General features: G+C 36.1%; 1 protein-coding gene across 11 annotated transcripts in view, besides 1 other annotated feature; it reads right to left on the reverse strand.

Moving 5' to 3' along the window:
- Positions 1-25,046, reverse strand: part of MORC1 (MORC family CW-type zinc finger 1) — a 159,887-nt gene that overhangs the window by 106,425 nt on the left and 28,416 nt on the right. For 8 of the 11 annotated variants that reach the window (NM_014429.4, XM_005247362.3, XM_047447968.1 and 5 more), the window contains one exon: positions 4,960-5,085. In NM_014429.4, coding sequence (NP_055244.3) covers positions 4,960-5,085 — 126 coding nt within the window. Of the gene's footprint in view, positions 1-4,959; positions 5,086-6,428; positions 6,796-25,046 lie in introns of those variants that run through there. The other 3 variants (XM_011512696.2, XM_047447970.1, XM_011512697.3) reach the window with 3 other exon arrangements.
- Positions 17,178-17,347: an enhancer, noted in NCBI's record as "active region_20223". NCBI's record gives its function as "activates an Ori minimal core promoter by ATAC-STARR-seq in GM12878 lymphoblastoid cells {active_cell/tissue: GM12878}" and the evidence as "EXISTENCE:reporter gene assay evidence [ECO:0000049][PMID:35858748]".

Raw genomic sequence — 25,046 nt, forward strand, 5'->3', positions numbered from 1 at the left:
TGGAGTATTCAATCATTATTATTTAAGTTATAAGAGTTTACCTGGTTTAGTTATATTGTAAAAATAATTCTAATCCTTAATTATTCTTTACAACATGTAATTAGGCAGGATCAATAATTTTCTGGTTCGTATAATATTGATAGGTAGAGATGTGGACGTTGAATAGACCTCCCAAATTTAGTGTGCCTACTATGATATGAAGAGAACTCCAGCCACCATTCCTCCTAACCTCTACACTTGCACCTCCTCTATCATTCTGAAGATTTTGTTCAGGATAAAAACTCAGAAGGCCTTCTGGACTCCTCATTTTCTCTCCACCCCATATCCAATCCACTGGCAAGTCTTGCTGGCTTTACCTTCACAACATATCTGTAATCCAGACACTTTTCATCCCTTCCACTATTACCACCTGAGTTCAAGCTCATTTCTCTCCTAGAATACAGTAATAGTATCTATCCTACCTCAACTTCCCTCCTTTCTTCTTGTCCCATGAAATCAATTCTCCACTCAACAGCTAGAATAATCTTTTAAAAACATAGGTCAAGTAATGCCACTCCTCTGCTCAAGTCATTCCATTCTCAATACAGCCACTTCTTCTTGTCATGTTCCTTCAGGCCTTACCTGATCTGCCCAATCTACTTCGATCTGTTTTCTGTGTTCTAGCTAGACTAGCCTTTGATTCCTGTCTTTGCACTTACTGTCCCCTCCTTCTAGAACCATCTTCCCACAAAATTATTGCATAACTCACTGTGCTACCCACCATCCAAGATATCTCCTGTGTTTTTTTTCCTCCTGGTATTAATGCCTATGTGTGGTGCCCCCACACCCCAACACTGGTCAAATCTAGGCTGAGCTGTGGCATGGCAAAAGTGATGGTCTGTCACTTTTAAAGATGGGTTCTAAAAAGTTGCAAGTTCTACTTTCTTCTCTTGAATTGCTCACTCTGATAGAAGTCAGCCATTATGTCATGAAAATACTCAGGTGGACCTATGCAATGGCCTTTGTTAAGAGGAACTAACTTGCCCCAAAAGACACACACACTCATATGTTTATTGACACATTATTCACAATCGCAAAGACATGGAATTGGTCTAGGTGCCCATCAATGGTGGATTGGATTTTTTAAAAAGTGGTACATATACACTATAGAAGACTACACAGCCATAAAAAAGAATAAAATAATGTTCTTTGCAGTGACATAATGCAGTGGAGACCATCATCTTAAGTAAATTAACACAGAAACAGAAAAACAAGTACCTCATAGTCCCATTTATAAGTGGGAGCTACACACTGAGCACACATGGACATAAACATGAGAACAACAGACACTGGGGAATACAAGACGGGGGAGAGGGAGGCAGGGATGGGGGCATGGGTAGAAATGATCCCTATTGGGTACCATGCTCATTAGCTGGGTGACAGGATCCATACCCCAAACGTCAGCATCACACAATATACCCATGTAAAAAACCTGCACATGTACCTCCTGTATCTAAAAGTTGAAATTTAAAAAAAAGAATTACCTGATATTTTATCATCAATTTTAATTTACATGTTGTTTTTCCTCCCCCACTAGAATGTAAGCTCCATGAGAGCAGGAATTTTCTCTTTTTTTCTTTTTTTTTTTTTCTGAGACAGAGTTTCACTCAGTCGCCCAGGCTGGAGTGCAGTGGCATGATCTCAGTTCACTGCAACCTCCACCTCCTGGGTTCAAGTGAGTCTCCTGCCTCAGCCTCTGGAATAGCTGGGATTACAGGTGCATGCCACCACGCCTGGCTATGTTTTTGTATTTTTAGTAGAGATGGGGTTTCACCTTCTTGGCCAGGCTGGTCTCAAACTCCTGACCTCAGGTGATCTGCCTGCCTCGGCCTCCCAGAGTGCTGGGATACAGGCGTGAGCCACTGCACCCAGCCCAGGAATTTTCTCTTTTTGCTTTTGCCAAATGTCCAATGCCTACAAGACAGCCTTGCACATAGTGGTCATTCCATCCACTTGCTCTTACGCATTTGTATAATAACAACTACTATTGGTTAACAAACTTTTCAGAAACCTTGCTGTTTTTATGTTTAACATAAAACACTGTTTTATTTTAGCCCTCATAATAACCTCAGTGGCAGAGGAATTCCCAATTCACAGTGGAGAAGAGTAAGACTCAAGTAATTGCCAAAGGTCCACAACTAGTAAATGACAAAACCTAAATTCAAATCCAGATTTGGCTAATCCACATTTCGCTTCCAATTATCATACTGTAATAAAAGATTAAATAATTCAGCATTGTAAAAATTCAAAAATGGATGCATGGTGTACAAAAGAATCACTGTTCAAAAATTACTAGTCTGATAGGTGGGTGGGGTGTTAGCATATGGAAAGCATCCCTAAATAATGAATTCTGTTTCAGAAGCATAGTGTTGCAGAGTATTCAACAAGAGAACATAGCGTTAATGTCCCAGAATAACTTAAAAAGGACCATGCGGTTCCTATGAATGCACAGTAACACCCATCCCAACTCATTTGGGCTCCTTTCAGCATTATGGGTCTATGGTTAAGCAATGTTAATGAAGAATGTTTGTTGCCTAAAATCAAGTAACACAACCATATAATAACTTGTCTTTATTATATAAACAATATTTTAAGACTCCAAGAATTATAGACTTATAAAATGTTTAAGAGACCTGAGAAATCACCTAGAAATTTTTTCCAAAGTAATAATTTATTCTATGATCTAGACTCCTCCAGAGACAAATTTGTACACATCTTGGGTGGGAGTCCCTTCCATTGCAATATACTCGAATGGGAAGCAGCCATCACTGGATATAAGTAATTTAGGTAGATTACACTCAATTTACTAAAACTCCCTCAGAAAATAGAGACAAATCCACATTTTCCATGGACTTAAACTATTTTTTACCCAAACTCACGAGAGAAATTTAATGTGAAAAGATCGGCTATATTGATTGATCCAGGAGACACTTGGCGCTTCCCAGAAGAATGAGACTGATGAAAAGGAAACATTGCTTTGATATTTATTAGGAAATGAATGGACTGATTTATAGGGAAAGTCTCAGGATTGGTATATTTTATTTTCAAAAGATGATGGGCAGTATAATTAGAGATCAAAAGTAAAGCTTTTGCGAAATCCATTGGTGCGTGGTCAGGGAGTATGATGCAGAGATCTATAATTTTTAGTATTAATATCTTTATGAGTGATAGCAAGGCCCTACTCAGGACAGTAACTGCAGTTTCATGAAAATAAGACAAGATGACAAATGCAGACATATAATAAAGAGTTAATGTGGTATAGGAGAAGAAACATTGAATTTGGATTGGTAAAGAATTTAGAGCCAGAAGGTTTGAGTTCTTTTCTAGTTTTAACATTTCCTTATCTCTAAAATGGTGATGATAACCTAACACACAGTGTTACTGCAGAAATCAAATGAAATAGTTCAGGCAAAAAGGCACATATATAAGTAGTGTACACAAATTAAATGTTTCTCCCAATAGATATCAAGGTCCTCAAAACAAGAATTAATCTTATCTTTTTTCTATTTTTCCATAAGTTATTGGGGTACAGGTGGTGTTTGGTTACATGAGGAAGTTCTTTAGTGGTAATCTGTGAGATCCTGGTGCATCTATCACTCAAACAGTATACACTGCACAATATGTTGTCTTTTATCCCTTGCCCCTCTCCCACTCTTCCCCCTCAAGTCCCCAAAGTCCATTGTATCATTCTTATGCCTTTGCATTCTCATAGCTTAGCTCCCACATATCAGTGAGAACATAAGATATTTGATTTTCCATTCCTGAGTTACTTCACTTAGAATAATAGTCTCCAATCTCATCTAGGTCATTGCAAATGCTGTTAATTCATTCCTTTTTACTGCTGAGTAGCATTCCATTGTGTGTATATATATATACCACAGTGTCTTTATCCACCTGTTGACTGATGGGCATTTGGGTTGGCTCCATGATTTTGCCATTGTGAATTGTGGTGCTATAAACATGCATGTGCAAGTATCTTCTTCAAATAACTTCTTTTCCTCTAATCTCAAACTCACAGAAAAATCTGATAAATGTTTGGTGTGTAAATGAAAGACTACCCAGAAACCACATCAAGAAAATGACCATTCTGATGGCATGCATGGTTGGAAAAAATGGATATTATAATATGTAAATATAAACTTAAAGGCCGGGCCTGGTGGGTGGCCAAGTGCAGTGGCTCACGCCTGCAATCCCAGCACTTTGGGAGGCCAAGGCAGGTGGATCAGTTGAGGTCAGGAGTTTGAGACCAGCCTGGTCAACATGGTGAAACCTCATCTCTGCTAAAAATACAAAAATTGGCCAGGCGTGGTGGTGCACGCCTGTAATCCCAGCTACTGGGGAGGCTGAGACAGGAGAATCACATGAACCAGGGAGGCAGAGGTTGCACTGAACCAAGATTGTGCCACTGCACTCCAGCCTGGGTGACAAGAGAGACTCTGTCTCAAAACAACAACAACAAAACCTTGAAAACATTTATGTTAAAGTAAAAAAACACACAAAATATAAATCAACCAGATACATATTTATAAATATATTCATTCTATATGTATAATATAAATATGTATATATATGGTTTAATAGTTCAAATGTATTGTGTAAACAGAAGATATACGTGAACTGTGATCATTTAGTGGAACTAATCACTGTCATAGTACCTAAAATTCACTGAAGTAAAAAACAAATTTCTACTCGGGGTGATGATCTAACTTAGCATGCTCACTGCAGTATGTTTCTATTACTGCCAAATATTTGTTCACATCCAATTACTCTTTAGCATCCCTTCCTGGATGTGGTTTAAATTTTGTTTACAATGTAAAAATCTTACTATCAAAGTCAATGTCCTCACTTTGACAACTTTGGGGAGCATATCAATTTTATAAATAAAAACTCTGTGAAGATAACTGAAGAAAGATGAGTTACCTGGGTCTGTAGAGGCAATAGCAAAGATGTTTAGTTTTAACTCTCTTGGCTTGAATGAATATTCTCATCCATGGGTTAAAATACAGAACAGATGTGTAGGCTCTGAATGACCACCTCGCTGGGAAACTGAAATAGAAAATACAAAATGTCACAATACAGAGGACACAACAACTACATCTCTTTGAGAAGAAATAACATCAGACTATCAGGTTATTATTGTTACTACAAGAAGCTTCAAGAACTTTTCTTCTAAAACTAATGACACCACAAACACCAGCAAATATCACAACACTCACTTCATTAAGGAGGCCTCTAAACACAAGGCCCAACACAAATAACCTACACTTTGGTTACAACTGAACTTTTGTTGGCAACCAACTTATTCTAAGTAGACTTATAACAGCAATCTAAAATATACTTTCCATTAAAGCTGTTGACCTAGGAGAACAAAGTCAAGTCAAATCAACAAAACAATCCCTCGTTCAAACATAACAAAAAGAATCTAGGCTCACATGAATAAAAAGCATTCCCATTAAGTCCTTATAAACAGAGAAATACAGTAAAAATGTTTCATTTGCTTTCAAAATTATGAACAAGAAACATAAAACTTCATTCCATAAGTGCAATAAGTATTAAAATAAGTATTTATGGCCAGCTGAGGGGAAGCATCTGACCACACGATAATGAAAAAGGAGAAAAGAGAAAAATAAAGAATCGGAAGGCAATAAAACGGAAGCAAAACCAACATAAATAGCCTATGAAGAAAACTACCCTTGTAAAGCTGCATTTTGGGAAATCGCCATGTCATTGTATACTTATAACTCCAGGGAACTTCTATATTAAAGTCCGTTTATGAACTGTAAATCCTCTCCAATAAGATAGGAAATAAAGATCCACAACAAGCCCAGCCATGCTGAAGAAGCGATGCTCTTTACTACTCGGTCACAGAAAAGGCTACTCCACAAGGTCAAATGGAAAGCAGAAAGCAGTAAACCCATCATTTTTACACTTGTATCTCAGTCCAGAATAAGACAAAGATGATGGGAAAAAAAAAAATGTGAAGCCCGTCTAAAGGGGAACTACTCAACAGGTTAACATTATTGCCAGTAACTCAGTAAGACAGGCAGAGCTCCAAGGAATTTTCGAAAATGAAGATGAAGCCATAAGAAATTCAAGAATTGCCTGGTTGGTTTTAAGTTCCTTCAGGCAGGATCTGAAGCTCATTAAAAAGTCAGGAATTCATCTTAATTGTTCCAAAGGAAATTCTCTTAAATAAGTCTTGAGCAGAATTTTCCCAGTATAAATTACATATTAGTATCTAGTCCATCACTCTTATTCCCTAAATATTAATACTAGTGTATTTTTTAATGTAACAAGATAGGCTGTCTGTATTCGAGTGTTGCACTACAAATACAATAATGTGGCTGCTTTTAGTATACCCAGAACTGCACAATTAAGTATGTCCTCACCTGATAAAAGAAACGGAAAGAAGTTACCTTGGGATGCTTGCCATTGTTTAAATCCTTTCTGGATCTCCTGATGTTAAATTGCTCTTGTAGCTCTTTCTTCTGACTCTCTTCAAAACTGATACGTCTTTATCATTTGAAGGTAAAAAAGTCAAAAGTAATTCAGAGCCAACTTTGAGAATTTGAGAAATATGGTGAGAGATAAAACCAGCTAAACATATATATACACACACACATATATGTGTGTATATATATACATGAACACTAATACTTCTACCTTTTAATAGCTCAATTTATTCACTCATTCAGTAACTAGTTATAGGTAAATATTCATAGCATGCATGTTGGGGATCTTCAAGGTCTCCCCTATGTTAGGAGATTCACTGGAAGGACTCATGGGCCTTAGCACACAATTGTACTCATGCCTTCGACATCACAGTGCTGCAGTGAGGACACACAGTGGCTGACAAGGGAAAAAAAATAGGTGGAGTCTGGAGGAATCTGTCTGCTAGCTTTCCTACATTCTCTCCTTCTCATGAAAGTTCACATACAGCATAATTTTCTCAAAGCTATAAAAATGCAGCAACATGTGTGTGATGTTTCCATCTAGGATAGCTTATTAGAGACTTAGCATCCAAGGTTTTTATTGGGAAGCTAGCCACACAGGCACCTTCAGCCCAGCATGTAGCGAAGTTCCAGAGTCCCAGAAGGAGAGGAGGTTTGCATATAAGCCATATGGTTTGCATATCTAGACACAGCAAGCCACTGTTATCAGCTAGGAAAGGTTTTATGTCATTGTAGGAAACTGTTTACCAGGCAAGTTCCCAAAAGCTGGCCACAGACCAATTTTGCAAGCAAGCCTTTCTAAGAATAGACACCTGCTATGTTAACCCTTTTCTCTCACATGCCTACTTTTAGAAGTTCCTGTTTATTTGTGACAAAAAGAAGGGTACTACCTCTTATTTGTGATGCTTTTAATAAAAAGAAGGCAAAGAGGGCTAAATATAAAACCTGTAAGTGAAATGGGCCACGTCATTATAAACGTCAAACTTTTTAATGTGATGCATAAGATCCTTCATGGTCTGACCCCCGCTTAATTCTCCAGTCTCATCTCTTGTCTTCAGCCTGGCCATTTAGGACCATTCTCAGTTCTCCAGCCATGCAATCAGGCTTTCTTATCCCCAAGGCTGGCATATTCAGTTCTTCAGCCACTCTTGCTTGGCGCACCCCTTTTCACCCTGCGGTATACAACTTGAAACTGCACTTCCTTTCGAAGCCTTCCCTCAGCCCCGAGAGAGATGAAGTGCTCTCCTTTGTGCTCCCCTCCTTCTGTACTTCCCGCCGTCAAGGCACCTGCCACTCAGTGCTGTCATCCTCTGTCTATGCATCTGCATCCCCAACTGGCTGTGAGATCCATGAAGCTAGCGCTCTCATCAATAAAAATATGTTGAATAAATGACAATCATTCAGGACTTCCCTGGCTTAATTTGGAATAAACAACAGAGGTTCCTTATGTATGACGGATTATCTTCAATGGCAATGCTACCACTCTTTACAAATAAAGCCGTCCACTTAGGAAAGGGAGATAAAAACATGCTAAATCGTCAGGATATCTTCAGAAGATGAAAGGAAAAAATACTATTACTCCACACTCACCAGGAACTGTTTCCATGTATTCTTCAAGAGTATTTCTTCCTGTTTCCTTCTAAATACCTTTGTTTCCTGTCTCCTTACACTTTGTCAGAAGTGTCCATATCTCTATCTTTCTCTCTCATTTTCTATGTAACTGGCTACGATAAGAAACTGAAGAAAGGAAGAGACAGAACAATCTCCCTCAACACACACACACACACACACACACACACACATACACACACACACACACACAGTCACAGGACAGATGTGGGGAAAGAGGAGAGTATTTCAAGGCAGAAACTGGCTTCATAGTCTGTGGATATAATAGGAGGGCATGGAGTAGAATCAATGCTTTTGTCCCCTGCTCAGCACTGGGTATTCTTAACAGTCTCTAATTTAGCCCCTACCTGTGGCTGTGCTTTCTGTGTGGCCTCTTGCTTCTCCCAATCTGTCCACAGTATTCTGCTGCTGTTTTAAATGCTGCTCCATGTGCCATGCATCATGGGTGGATCAATGTGTTGCAGTCATCAAACTGTGTTAAGGGCAGTGAAGGAGCCAGAAACTAATGTTCTGTGGCTAAGGCCATAGCTCCTTATCTGCTGATTCAGATTCTCTGTGGCTGGAGTCTGGAAACGTGAGGTTTTTAAAGCTACCCAGGTGATTCCTTTGATTCTGCCACTTTGATTGGACACCACTGCCTACCTGACCTAGTGGACAGGGTAGTATGTAAGGCAGGTTGCCACAAAGAGGGGAGGAGAACAGTCTCTCACAGGTGTTTGGACCTAGACACGAGCTGAGAAATACAACTCCTCCATTATTCACACTGGGCACACAGACAACAGACCCCCATCTAGCCCAACAACTGGGCTACTTTTCCTGGATTGAGAAAATGACTCTAAACTGCAGACTACATTAGGTCCCTTTTGCAATATCTCAGAAGTGCCATATTTTTATTCGTGAAAATATTACATAACCAAAATTGTTTTCTAAATTACTCAAGTCCTTACAAAATCTCTGAAGACTTTTTGAAGTTGAAATTAACAGGGTTTGTATTATCTTGAATATAAACAAGTGCATAAAGATTTTTAACTAGTTTAAATTCTGAACTTTGAAGGGGGTAACCAAATTTAATATTAGGGTAGATTAAACCTATGAGAAATGTCAACTCGAAGAGGTAATTTTTTTAAAAAAGTTATAAGCTACACAAAGTAATGAAAGTGTTTCTTTTGTGACAACCACAGTATGGCAAGCAGCACATTAGAACAATTTGAAGCTATAACTTTTGATGTGTTCCTGGGCAGCTCAGTTAAGACATAAAAAGTAGAGACATGGAATGCTGCCCAATGACTGTCAATTTAGAAACATGCTGGCAACGTGGCACCTAATTTTAAAACATTACTTAGCACAAAATTTCAACTGCATTACTCTGTATTATATCATCACTCTCAGAGCTGTTTTTTGGATGGGTTTTTCTAGCTGCCTGAGATCGATCCCGAGCCATGGCGGATTTCAGGGATGTGGCAAGCCCCTTTGATGACAGCCAATTGCATGGCATGCCTTTTTTACTAGGGGCTGTGCTTTTTTCTAGTTTCTTACAAAGTTGAGTGATTAATATTTGTAATGTTTTGAAGATAGTTAAGTCACTGAAAGCAACATGAGCACACAAAAATAATATGAAAAAGAGACAAGGTGAAATGGACACATGGTCCTCACCTCCAAAAAAGGAATCAAGAAAGATGATATAAGGGGTGATCTGGCCTTCACAGTTTGGAACTTGAAAGAGATTTCAAAGGTAACAGAAGTACTTTACAAAATCTTTTAAATTCCCTCTCTCACCCTAATGAAGATCTCCAATGATCTTTAAGGATGAAGGACAATGGAACTGACATCGAGAGTCTAAACACCTTACAGTGAAAGCATTTGTCATGTCCTTAGAAAATTATCTAGACATTGACATTCAAATCAATTTACTTGAATGTAATTCATTTTTTATTTGCTATGTACCAGACACTGACTTACTTTCCACAGCATGATAGTAAGCTAGAAAGAGGTGTTGTAGGAAAAAGTAGAATGAGGGGAATTGTGGGGATTACTAAAATGTACAGAGATTTTCCATTTGCCTGGTACTGTGCCTGTTCTATTTAAACAGCTTCCATATGAAGTAGATGATGTTATAGCCTTATTTTATAGATGGGAACAGAGAATTTTGGAGACTGAAGATAACTTGCCACTAGAATTAAAGCTCTCCCAACAGAACTCAAGTCACTCGATGGCATATCAACCTAGAGTTCTGGTCTCTTCAATTTGCTCCTACAGAACTGAATTCAAAGATCTGATGTCCATGTTTTCTAGTTCTATACATACGTCACTGTACAAAATAAGTCATATGGCAGTAGACAATCAATATCTCCCAGCCATTCAATTACACCTAATGTCTCTGCTGATAGATCATGCCATTATGTAAAAGAATATCCTTTTGGAAAAATGAAGACATTTACAGAATCAGGCTAGTAGACTAAGAATACATATTATTCTCCTGCTGAAATTCAAGGAAGACTATTAATAGTGTGAAGAATAAGAAAACTATATGACCCACTGACAGACACACAATGGGAATTATTAAAAGTTAAGAGAAAATATTTGCCCATGCCTACGTCCTGAATGGTATTGCCTAGGTTTTCCTCTAGAGTTTTTATGGCTTTAGGTCTTATGTTTAAGTCTTTAATCCATCTTAATTTTTATATAAGGTGTAAGAAAGGGGTCCAGTTTCAGTTTTCCGCATATGGCTAGCCAATTTTCCCAACATCATTTATTAAATAGGGAATCCTTTCCACATTGCCTGTTTTTGTCAGGTTTGTCAAAGATCAGATGGTTGTAGATGTGTGACATTATTCCTGAGGCCTCTGTTCTGTTCCACTGGTCTATATATCTGTTTTGGTACCAGTACCATGCTGTTTTGGTTACTGTAGCCTTGTAGTATAGTTTGAAGTCAGGTAGCATGATGCCTCCATTGTTCTTTTTGCCTAGGATTGTCTTGGCTATATGGGCTCTTTTTTTGGTTCCATATGGAATTTAAAATAGTTTTTTTTTTATTCTGTGAAGAAAGTCAATGGTAGCTTGATGGGGATAGCATTGAATCTATAAATTACATTGGGCAGTATGGCCATTTTCATGATATTGATTCTTCCTATCCATGAGCATGGAATGAAAACACCAAAAGCAATGGCGACAAAAGCCAAAATTGACAAATGGGATCTAATTAAACTAAAGAGTTTCTGCACAGCAAAAGAAACTATCATCAGAGTGAACAGGCAACCTACAGAATGGGGGGAAATTTTTGCAATCTATCTATCTGACAAAGGGCTACTATCCAGAATCTACAAGGAACTGAAACAAATTTACTAGAAAAAAACAACCCCATCAAAAAGTGGGCAAAAGATATGAACAGACACTTCTCAAAAGAAGACATTTATGTGGCCAACAAACGTATGAAAAAAAGCTCATCATCACTGGTCATTAGAGAAATGCAAATCAAAACCACAAAGAGATACCATCTCACGCCAGGTAGAATGGCAATCATTAAAAAGTCAGGAAACAGATACTGGAGAGGATGGGGAGAAATAGGAACACTTTTACACTGTTGGTGAGACTGTAAATTAGTTCAACCATTGTGGAAGACAGTGTGGCAATTCCTCAAGAATCTAGAACCAGAAATACCATTTGACCCAGCAATCCCATTACTGGGTATACACCCAAATAATTATAAATTATACTACTATAAAGACACGTGCACACGTATGTTTATTGCAGCACTATTCACAATAGCAAAGACTTGGAACAAACCCAGATGCTTATCAATGACAGACTGGATAAAGAAAATGTGGCACATATACACCATGGAATACTATGCAGCCATAAGAAAGGATGAGTTCATGTCCTTTGCAGGGACATGGATGAAGCTGGAAACCATCATCCTCAGCAAACTAACACAGAAACAGAAAACCAAATACCACATGTTCTCACTCATAAGTGGGAGCTGGACAATGAGAACGCATGGACACAGGGAGGGGAACATCACACACCAGGGCCTGGCGGGGGATCGGGGACTAGGGGAGGGATAGCATTAGGAGAAATACCTAATGTAGATGACAGGTTGATGGGTGCAGCAAACCACCATGGCATGTGTATACCTATGTAACAAACCTGCAAGTTCTGCACATGTATCCCAGAACTTAAAGTATTAAAAAAAAAAAAAAAGTTAAGAGAAAATCCTGAAAGTTCTCCAGAGGAAAAAAATAAGTAATTTACAATAATTTGGTAATCACATTTCTATCAGACTTCTGATCAACAACATGTATTCAAGAAGTCAAAGAAGCAAATAGTTCTAAGGGAAACTATTTTTGAACCAATATTTCTATAACCATTTAAACAAATATTGAAGTGGAAGGGAAAAATAAAGACACTTGTAGAGATACAAAGCTTCCAACAGACTCTGAAAGAATCATTTCGGGATATAATAAAGCAAATTGACTAATAAATCCAAGAAAGAAGATACAGGATGGAAGATATAGTAGTAAACAAACACACAAAAAACAAATCTTCTAATTTAGTCTAAATAATTGTTCATGTCTGATGTAATAAAAATGTGTAATTAAAATCCTACAAAAAATAATTTTAAAAGGTGGAACTGGAAAGGAAGAAAGATAAATACATACTAAGACCATATCTTATTTGTGAAATGAAATACATACTAATTAACTCTACAGTTTGAAAATAAAATCATAAGTTTAGACATGTTTATTAAAAATGTAAAACTAATCCACTGAAAGTATATAATGGAGCAACTAATTTGCAAATCATTAGAATAGAAAAAAAATAAACTTTTCCTTTTGGGAAAAAAACCACAACTCAATTATTATCAAAAAGTGGGGAGAGAAAAAATAAAGCAGAATAAAATAAATTAAAAAATAAGAAAGCTCAAATAACAACAAAAGAAGCAAGGCAAATACAACGTATAAGCAGGCAGAGCAAGTCCAGCCATAGCAGATGTCACAGTAAGTGTGAATTAGCTAAAAGACAGAAGCAGTTAGAATAAGCAAAAAAAAAATCTAGTTATATGCTGTTTGTAACAGACAAATCAAAATCAAAATATCACTGCTGGAAAGAAAGTGGTGGCAAAATACACAGTAGGAAAATGTTAACCAAGAAAAAGCAAGTCTAGAGAGATTAATATTAGACAAAAAAGAAACGAAGTGGGGGAAATAACAGACACAGACGGGCATTATGTATTAATAAGAGCTTCACTTAAGATTACACATAAGTCACAATCTAATGACTCAGACAAATAGATAACAAAAACTAGTAGAAATACAAAATGTATGTACATAGCAATAAATATTGTAGAAGATTCTAACATACTGCTCTCAGAAACCGAGCAATGAAGAAGAAAAAAAGACATGGAAGATTTGAATACTTAATTAAAATATGTATGCAAATGAAATGGATAGAGCTCTGTCCTTATCAGAGATTCACTTTTAAAAAAATGTTTAAGACATAAGCCCATAAGAAAATCTGAACAGATTTCAAAGAGCAGATATAATACAGGCTAGATTCTCTGACCACCATACAATTAGAGCAACAATAAAAAGATATCTGACTCCTCTCTCCAAAAAGCAAACATATGCACTAGTAGATTTAAAACATTTTTAAAAAGCAACTCTTGAATAAGAGGAAATCAAAATAAAATTATAAGCTATTTAGAAATAAACAACAGTAAGAGTTCTATATTTTGAAACCTGTAGAATACAGCTATTATATAACGCAGAGGAGAAATAAGAACCTTATTGTTTAGATTAGAAAATGAAATTTAAAGTCAATGAATAAAACACATACCTCAAGGAAGTAGAAAAAGAAAAATAAACAAATCCAAAAAAGATATAAGAAAATAAAGAAATGTAAAATAAAAGTAATCCCAGCAGACTTAATTTTAAAAATCCAAAACTGTTTTATTTTTAAAGTCAATTGAAATAAATTTCTTTGGCCAAGAAAGAGAGATGGGAGAATACATGATATAAGAAGAAAAAGTGAACAAAATCTATCAGAGGAAAACATAAATTTTATAAAAACTCCATGTCAACAAACTGGAAAATATAAATAAAATGAATGTTTTTATAAGAAATTATAAATGACAAATTTAAGCCCCAAAATTCCAAAATCTGAATAGAATAACAGTCTTAGCACCATTAAAAAGTAATAAAAGAAATAAAGTAATAAGGCAACCAGATTTTCAAGGAAGTTCTAAAAAATCTATGGGCAGACAAAAGACTCACTTTACGTAAACTCTTCCAAATAATAGAAATGGGGGAAGAAATTCCCAACTCATTCTATGAGGCTACCATAATCTATATACCAATCAATACTAAATAAGGAAATGATAATAAAAGCACAGTTACAGCCAGTCTCATGTGCAAACATAAAAGCAAAAAATTTAAAGGATCAACAAAATGAACACAGTCATGTAAAAGAATAATACATCATGATCTTGTTGGGTTTATCTGAGGAATGCAAAGATCACTCAACATCATAAACTCTCTCATAATAAAACACTACTTTAAAGGAGAAAAACAAAACTAAATCACTTCAACAGATGTCAAAAAGCATTAAAATTGAAACCTGTAGAATACAGCTATTATGCAGAAAAGAATAAGAATCACATTTCCTCACACAAAAAAATAAATAAAACAAAATGTACTCTATAAACTGAAAATACATTTCTCAATTTCACAAAAGCCATTGATTAAAAAGAATAGTAACTAGAATAAATATCACATATAATAGTCAAACATAAAAAATGCCATTAAGACAAAAACAAAGCAAAGAAGCATACCTACTATTACCACTTCTATTTAACTAGCCAACTAAATTAAGAAAAAAGAAAAAGGATGAGCAACAGAAGACACAAAATCACAAAGCTGTCCTTATTTGCAGATGATAAGACTATACAGAAAATCTAATGAAAACTATTAGAATAAAAGAGTTCAGTAAGTGGTCAGATATAAAATCAACAGGCAAACATCAATGGTTTTTAACAAATGAATAATTAGAAAAGCAACGGAGGAAAAAAATCTTATATGAATACCAAGAAGAGTCATAAAATACCCAAAAATATACCTAACAAGAAATATACTAGAACTATATGAAGAAGTAATAACAGCTAACAATCACTGAGTACATATTATGTGTCAGGTAGTGTCCTAAGCACTTTTCATGTCATAAATCACTTAATCTTCTCAACAACCCCTGGATATAATACTATTATTTTTATCAACATTATTTTCAGATAAATAAACTGAGGTCCTGTGAGGCTAAATTCCTTTCCCATATCATGTATTAGTCCATTTTCACACTGCTGATAAAGACATACCTGAGACTGGGCAATTTACAAAAGAAAGAGGTTTAATTGGACTTACAGTTCCACATGGCTGGGGAAGCCTCACAATCATGGCAGAAGGCAAGGAGGAGCAAGTCACGTCTTACATGGATGGCAGCAGGTAAAGAGAGAGAGAGTTTATGCAGGGGAATTCCTCTTTTTAAAACCATCACATCTTGTTGGACTTACTATCACAAGAACACCACAGCAAAGACTTGCCCCCATGATTCAATTACCTCCCACCAGGTTCCTCCCACAACATATGGGATTTCAAGATGAGATCTGGGTGGGGACACAGCCAAACTATCACCATAATAATACAGCTTATAGAACTATAAACTGAACCCAGACAGTCCTTCAAACTCCTGTATTTAATTACTATGATATATTATGATGTTATAAAACTCCATTCAATTATATAAAAGAAGATTGGAATAAGAACCAACGTATAAGTGTGCCAGTTCTCTCCCATTTAATTATAAATTCAAGGAACTACCAATCAAAATCCCAAGAGCATTTTATAATAAAACTTGAAAAGCTGATTTTTAAAATTCAGATAAAAAAAGAATATTTGCAAGAATAGCAAATAATGATTTTTAAAAGAACAGTGAAAGAAAGGCTTGGTATTTGCCCTTCTAAATATTAAAATACATTATAAAGGCTGTAGCAATTAAGTTCTAATGGGGCAGGAAGTGAAAAATATATCAATGAAAAGGAATAGTTCATCCAGAAACAGAACCATGTATGATAAAAATTTAGTTTATAGTACTGATTTATTTCACATAAGTGGAAAAGGCTGAACTATTTCATAAATATAGATTTATTAGAACAATATTAAATTAATCCTTCACCCTCCATGTACACACACTTTGCACCATATTCAAAAACAATCAAGATAGATTAAAAGACTATAAAGAAATAAACTAAGATTCTTAGAGTAAATTATAAGAGAATACATCTAAATCATGGTTAAGGAAAGCATTTTTGAGCTGAAAATTACAAAATAAGAAAAACAAAGAAAAATGTTGACAGATACAAGCTCAAAAAAATTGAAAAATTTTATAAGACAAATAACAATGCTGAAAGTCAGATTGAGAGACTTCTGCTTCCAAAATGGTGGTGCAGAAGTAGAAGCAAGCTGGCTTCACATTCCCCACAACAGAAAACCAAAAACAAATAGACAGTGCCAAAATTAATACCAGCAATACCACAGAACTCAAATATCAGGATGGGAAAGTTTCCAGAGCATAGTGAAATGAAAAAATTCTTAGCAGATGGTACAAGAATTAAACTTTTTTTTTTTTTTTTTTTTGAGACAGAGTCTCACTCTGTCACCCAAGCTGGAGTGCAGTGGCACGGTCTTGGCTCACTGCAACCTCCACCTCCCAGGTTCAAGTGATTCTCCCACCTCAGCCTCTGAATAGCTAGGACTACAGGCATGTGCCACCACACCCAGCTAAGTTTTGTATATTTACTAGAGACAGGGTTTCAGTATGTTGGCCAGGCTGGTCTCGAACTCCTGACCTCGTGATCTGCCTGCCTCGGCCTCCCAAAGTGCTGGGATTACAGGCGTGAGCCACTGCGCCCAGCCAAGAATTGAACTTTCATACCCATGATGATCTTTCCCCCAATCTGCCCATCTTCTAATATGCAGAAAATTTCCTCCTGACTCACAGTTTCTATACCAGAAAAAGTGAGAGCAAGGTGAACAACCAGCTTCCCCACTATCCTGGGTTCCCCAGCAGGAGATCTGTCCCTGCTTCAATCCACGAGAAGCCTCACAAGTGTCTGGAGGGAGAAACGTCCTTGAGGACAGTAGGAAACTACTGTCCTCAGCCCTGGAAACTGTGCTAGGTAACTCAGACAAATCAAGTGGCCGTTCAGCAGCATCACACTGCAGGAAGTATGTTCCACAGGTCCCTTGGGCACAAACCCCCAGCCAACCTTCCCACACTGCTGGGGAATCCCCCTTAGGACTTTCCCTATTTAGGACAGGGCAGTGCTCTGATGATTTACTAGAGCCAAGGCCAACCTGGGTTATAGCACCACCTAGTGCCGAAAAGAAGGCAGCAACCTAGGAGAAAAATTTAAAAAAAAAAAAACCACCAGGTAAATTACGAATAATCTTCAAGCAAACATACCCAGTGAAAACAAAACAAAACAAAAACCAGACAGAGAAGACTGGGAGAGGTCATTAATCCTTCAGTGCAAAGACATAGATGTACATCCACAAGAAACAACAGCAAACAGAGAAGCAGGACCTGCCCAAACAAAGCAAGGAATCAGTGACTGACCCTAGTGAAAAAGCAATATGTGAGCTCTCGGATAAAGAATTAAAAATAATAGTTTTAAGGAAACTCAGTGGTCTCCAAAGTAACACAAAAAAGTAATTCAGTAATTAAAGAAATTTAATAAAGTGATTGAAATAACTTAAAAATCAAACAAATCTTGGAACTGAGAAATATACTTACTGAACTAAAAAATTCATTCAAGGCTCTGCACAACAGAATAGATCAAGTAGAGGAAATAATCTGTGAGCTCAAAGATAGGTTATTTGAAAATACACAGAGGAGCAAAAAGTAAAAAAAAATGAAAGAAACAAAGATGCCTACAAGATACAGAAAATTACCTCGAAAGACCAATCTAAGAATTACTGGTGTTCAAGAGGGAATAAAGCAAGAGCAAGGGTTAGAAAGCTTACTCAAAGAAATAATAACAGAAAATTTTCCCAAACTTGAGAAAGAGACCAATATCCAGGTATGGAAGCTCAGAAAATACCAAACAGATCCAACCCAAATAAGACTACCCCAATGCATATAAGAATCAAACTCTCAACAGTCAAAGACAAAGAGAGAATCCTAAAAGCAGCAAGAGGAAAGAAGCAAGTAACACATAAAGGAGCTCCAATTCGTCTAGCAATATACTTTTCAATGGAAATCATACAGGACAGTAGACAGTGAAACAATATTTTCAAAGTGCTGAAAAAAATGCTGCTATTCAAGAACACTGCATCCAGCAAAGCTATCCTTCAAATATAAAAGACAGATACAGCATTTCCTAGACAAACAAAATTCATCACCACCAGACCCATCTTACAAGAAATGCTAAAAGTATTTTTTCAATCTGAAAAAAACAAAATACTAAGGTAAAGAAAAAAAAAAACCTTTTCGAGATACAAGATCCACTGGTAAAATTAATTACATGAACAAACCCAGAATACTATAATTGTGGTGTACAATCTACTCATTATGCTAGTATGAAACCCAAAAGACAAATCTATCAAAAACAATAATATCTACAGCAACCTGTTAAGAGATAGTAATATAGTGCTGGGCGCAGTGGCTCACGCCTGTAATAAGAAGGTGCCCATCAAAGAAAATCCCAGGACCTGATGTCTTCACTGCTGAATTGTACCAAACATTTAAAGAAGAACTAATACCAATTCTACTCAAACTCTTCAAAAAAACTGAAGAGGAAGGAATTCTTTCAAACTCATTCCACAAGGCCAGCATTGCCCTGATACCAAAACCAGACAAATACAACCAAAAAGGAAAACTACAGGCCAATGTCACTGACGAACACAGATGTAAAAATCCTCAATAAAATACAAGCAAATCGAATTCATCAACACATTAAAAAGATCATTCATCTTTATCAAATGAGATTCATCCCAGGGATGGAAGGATGCTTGAACATATGCAAATAAATAAACGTGAAACATCACATTAACAGAATCAAGGAGAAAACCCTAGGATCATTTCAATTGATGATGAAAAATCATTCAAGAAAATTCCACATCCCTTTATGATAAAAACCCTTAATAAACTGTGTAAAGAAGTAATATACCTCAAAATAATAAAAACTATGTATGATAAACACATAGTTAACATTATACTGAATGAGGAGAAATTGAAAGCCTTTCCTCTAAGATCTGAAATAAGACAGGGACACCCACTGTCACCACTTTTATTCATAATACTGAAAGTTCTGGTCATAGCAATTAGCCAAGAGAAAGAAATATGGGGCATTCAAACCAGAAAGAAAGAAGTCAAATTAGCCTTGTTTCAGAATGATGTGACCTTATATTTACAAAAAACTAAAGACACCACCAGCAAACTGTTAGAACTGATAAATTAATTCAGTAAAGTGGCAGAATACAAAAGCTGCATACAATTAGTAGCATTTCTATATGCCACCAGCAAACAATCTAAAAAAGAAATCAAGAAAGCAATCCCATTTATAATAGCTACAAAGAATATAAAACACCTAGAAGTCAATTTAGCCAAAGAAGTGAAAGATCTATACAAAGAAAATTATAAAATACTTATGAAAGAAACTGAAGAGAATTTGAAACATAATGGAGATATTCCTCACTCATGAATTGGAAGAATTAATGTTGTTAAATATTAAATACCACCCAAAGCAATTTACACATTCAATAGAATATCAAAATACCAGTGGTATTCTTCACAGAAATAGAAGAACAATCCTAAAATTTATATGGAACCACAGAAGACACTGAATAGCCAAAGCAATCCTGATCAAAAAAAACCAAAGAACATCACACTACATGACTCCAAAATACACTACGAAATTATAGTAACCAAATCAGCATGGTACTGGCACAAAAACAGACACAGAACAATGGAACAGAAGAAGACACAACCCAGATATAAATCCACACATTTATAGCCAACTCATTTTTGACAAAGCCATCAAAAATGTGCAAAGGGGAAAGGACAGTTTCCTCAACAAACGGTGCGGGGAAAATTGAATATACATATGCAGAAGAATGAAACTAGACCCCTATCTCTCATCATATACAAACATCAAATCAAAGTGAATTAAAGACTTAAATGTAAGACCAAAAACTATGAAACTACTAGAAAGCTAGCTAGAAAACATTGGGGAAACTCTCCAGGAAATTGATCTGGGCAAAGGGGTGTGTCTGTGTCTATCTGTCTGTCTGTCTGTGTATGTGTCTGTGTGTGTGTGTCTATCTGTGTATGTGTCTGTGTGTGTGTGTCTGTCTGTGTATGTGTCTGTGTGTGTGTAAGAACTCAAAAGCAAAGGTAATTAAAACAAAAATAGACAAATGGCATTACATCAAGCTAAAAAGTTTCTGCAAAGCAAAGAAGATAGTCAACAAAGTGATGAGACAACCTGCAGAATAGGAGAAAATATTTGCAAACTATCCACCTGACAGAAGATTAATATCCAGAATATATAAGAAGCTCAAACAACTCAATGGCAAAATACCAAATAATCTTATTTTAAAATGGGCAAAAGACCCGAATAGACATTTCTCAAAAGACAACATACAAATAGCCAAAGGTATATGGAAAAATGCTCAACATCACTAATCATCACAGAAATGTAAACCAAAACCACAATGAGATATCATCTCACCCCAATTAAAATGGCTTTTATCCAAAGACAGGGAATAATGGATACTGGTGAGGATGTGGAGAAAGGGGAACCCTCGGATGCTGTTGGTAGGAATGTAAATTAGTACAGCCATTTTGGAGAATAGTATGAAGGCTCCTCAAAAAACTAAAAATAGAACTACTATATGATCCAGCAATTCCATTACTGGAAAGAAACTGAATCTATCAAAGAGATATCTGTATTCCCATGTTTACTGCAGCACTATTCAACATAGCCAAAATACGGAATCAACCTAAGTGCCCATAGTGGATGAATGCATAAAGAAATGTTGTACATATACACAACAGAATACTACTCAGCCATAAAAAAGTATGAAATCCTGTCACTGTAGCAACATGGATGAAATTGGAGGTCATTACGTTAAGTGAAATAAGCCAAGCACAGAATGACTAATATAACATGTTCTCATTCATATGTAGGAGCTTAAAAAGTGAATCTCATTAAGATAGAGAGTAGAATGGTAGTTACCAGAGGCAAGGTAATAGGATGGGGATGAAGAAAGGTTGATTTAATGGGATGAAATATACAGTTAAATAGAAGAAATAAGACCTACTGTTCAACAGATCAATAGGGTAACTATAGTTAACAATCATCTGTGGTACAATTCAAAATAGCTAGAAGAGAATAATTAGAATGTTTGTAGCATAAAGAAAAGAAATATTTAAGGGGATGAATATCCCAATTACCTCTATTTTAACTTTACAAATTATATGAATGTATCATATACCCTGAAAATATGTATATCTATTATTTACCAATATACTCTTTTAAAGTTATTTTTTTAAGTCGAGTTGATGGAGAAAGGAGGAAGTGTGTATAATTATAAAGGGTAATATAGGGGATATTTGTAGAGATGCATTGGTGGATTTCTATCAAACCTGATGGATTGTGTTCATGCCCTGGTTCGCGTCCTGGTTATCATATTGTACCTTGGTTTCGCAAAACGCCACCATTGAGGAAATTACAACCACTTAACCCAGTAATAGTATTTCTGAGAATCAACAGTAAATAAATACTTGTCTAAATGTCTAACAATTTAAGTATAAAGACTGACATTGTTCCCAAAAGTGAAAAATTAAAATCAACCTGAATGCCCACCAACAGAGAAGTACTGATGTACAGGTGGACCATCCCTTATCTGAAATGCTTGGGACAGGCATGTTTCAAATTTCTAATTTTTCAGATGTTGGTAAAATATCAACATTTGGGAAATCTGGATGAAAGATACATGGGAATTTTCTGTATTATCTTTAAAACTTTGAAAAGTCAAATTATTTCAAAATTTTAAAAATGGTAAGTTATATCTAATATAAAGTGACAGATAATAAATATCTAGAAGATAGATTTAAATCCCAAGTAGCAAAATAATTTCTACAGTAGAAGAGAGACTGGGGGAGCTGAGGTGGAAAATGAGGACGCACTTTTACATTGCTTTACCTGTTTATGAAAGTTTAAATATTTTTCAATGAGTTAATATTTGTAATACTAATTGAAGCTCCTCCCTTCATTCCCACTCCATCCTCTGCCCCCCAAATTAATGCCTCTTGAACAGGTGCTGAACCACCTGGCAAACAAGGGAGAGTGAGGTATATGAGAAGTAAAGAAAACTATTGCTTGGCAATCAGGCAAGAGAAAGAAATAAAAGGCATCCAAATAGGAAGAGAGGAAGCCAGACTACGTGTGTTTGCAAACGACATGACTCTATATCTAGAAAACCCCATAGTCTCAGCCCAAAAGCTCCTTCGGCTAATAAACAACTTTAGCAAAGTTACAGATACAAAATCAATGTACAAAAGTCACTAATATTCCTATACATTAACAACAGCCAAGCCAAGAGCCAAATCAGGAAGGCAATCTCATTCACAATTGCCACAAAAAGAATAAAATACCTAGAAATATGCCTAAACAGGGAGGTGAAAGATTTCCACAAGGAGAATTACAAAACACTGCTCAAATAAATCAGAGAAGACACAAACAAATGGAAAAACATCACATGCTCCTGTATAGGAAGAATCAATATCATTAAAATGACCTTACTGCCCAAAGCAATTTACAGATTCAATGCTATTCCTGTCAAACTACCAATGACATTCTTCACAGAACTAGAAAAAATTATCTTAAAATTCATACAGAACCAAAAAAAGAGCCTGACTAGCCAAAGCAATCCTAAGCAAAAAGAACAAAGCTGGAGGCACCACATTACCCGACTTCAAATTATACTAAAGGGGTACAGTAACCAAAACAGCATGGTACTGGTACAAAAACAGACACATAGATCAATGAAACAGAAAAGAGAGCCCAGAAATAAGGCTGCACACCTACAACCATCTGATCATCAACAAAGCTGACAAAAAGAAGCAATGGGAAAAGACTCCCTCTTCAATAAATGGTGCTGGGATAACTGGCTAGCCATATGCAGAAGATTGAAGCGGGACCCCTTCCTTATACCACATACAAAAATTAACTCAGGACGAATTAAAGACTTAAATGTAAAACCCAAAACTATAAAAACCCTGGAAGACAACCTAGGTAATACCATCCTGGACATAGGAACAGGCACAGATTTCATGACAAGATACCAAAAGCTATTACAACAAAAGCAAAAATTGACAAGTGGGATCTAATTAAACTTAAGAGTTTCTGCACAGCAAAAGAAACTATCAACAAAGTAAACAGACAACCTACAGGATGGGAGAAAGTATTTGCAAACTATGCATCTGACAAAGGTCTAATATCGAGCATCTGTAAGAAACCTAAACTTACAAGAGAAAAAGAAACAACCCATTAAAAAATGGGCAAAGGACATGAACAGATATTTTTCAAAAGAAAACATACATACAGCCAACAAGCATATTTAAAAAACCTCAATATCACTGATCATTAGAGAAATGCAAATCAAAACCTACCATCTCACACCAGTCAGAATGGCAATTATTAAAATGTTGAAAAATTACAAATGTTGGAGAGGCTGCAGAGAAAAGGGAATACTTATACACTGTTAGTGGGAGTGTACTAGTTCAACCATTGTGGAAAGTACTATGGCAATTCCTCAAAGAGCTAAAAAGTAGAACTACCGTTCAACCCAGGAACCCCATTACTGGGTATATACCCAGAATAATATAAAGCATTCTGTCATGAAGACACATGCATGCAAATGCTCACTGTAGCACTATTTACTATATCACAATAGCAAAGATATGGAACCTAAATGTCCATAAATGACAGATTGGATAAAGAAAATGTGGTACATATACCATGGAATACTATGCTGCCATATAAAAGAACGAGATCATGTCTTTTGCAGGAATATGGATAGAGCTGGAGGCTGTTATTTTTAGCAAACTAACACAGGAACAGAAAACTAAATACTGCAGGTTCTCACTTACAAGTGCAAGCTAAATAATGAGAACACATGGACACACTGAAGGAAACAATAGACACTGGGGTCTTGAGCATGGAGGGTGGGAGGAGGGAAAGGAGCAGAAAAGGTAACTGTTGGCTATTGGGCTTAATACCTGAGTGATGAAATAATCTGTAAAACAAACCTCTGTGACATGAGTTTACCTACATAACAAACCTACATGTGTACCCCTGAACCTAAAATAAAAGTCTAAAAGAAAAGTAATGCTTAGATCCAATTCAGTGGCATATCTTACATGTAATTTTAAAATCCATATTAAGATTCCATCCTGGTATCCACATAAAGAGGTCTATGTCCTATGAATGAAATAAGATCTCTATGTAAGGAATGCCAAAGTAGAATTACAGTCCTACAGATTTCACAGATGAGAATCCATACTAACCACATAGGAGGTCATGATGGGCAGTGATTCATTTTAAAACTCTCCACTAGCCTGTTAACTTCTGTACCCACTCAATAAAGGACTTCTGAAAATGACTCTAAACTTTAATCATCTGTATGACTGTAAATGAAGCTTACTAAAAGCCACCAATAAGATAGAGGGAAAGAATTAACTAAGGATTTTGTTTTGCACAAATGGACTATTTAAAGAGAAAAAAATGCGATTTAATGGAAGAAAACATCTACAAAAGTTTGAGATGTGGGATTTGGGTCCAGAGTTCCAAAAAATTACCACAACATAAATTAG

This window comes from Homo sapiens, chromosome 3 (genome assembly GCF_000001405.40).
Source record: "Homo sapiens chromosome 3, GRCh38.p14 Primary Assembly".
Classification (NCBI taxonomy): Eukaryota; Metazoa; Chordata; class Mammalia; order Primates; family Hominidae; genus Homo; species Homo sapiens.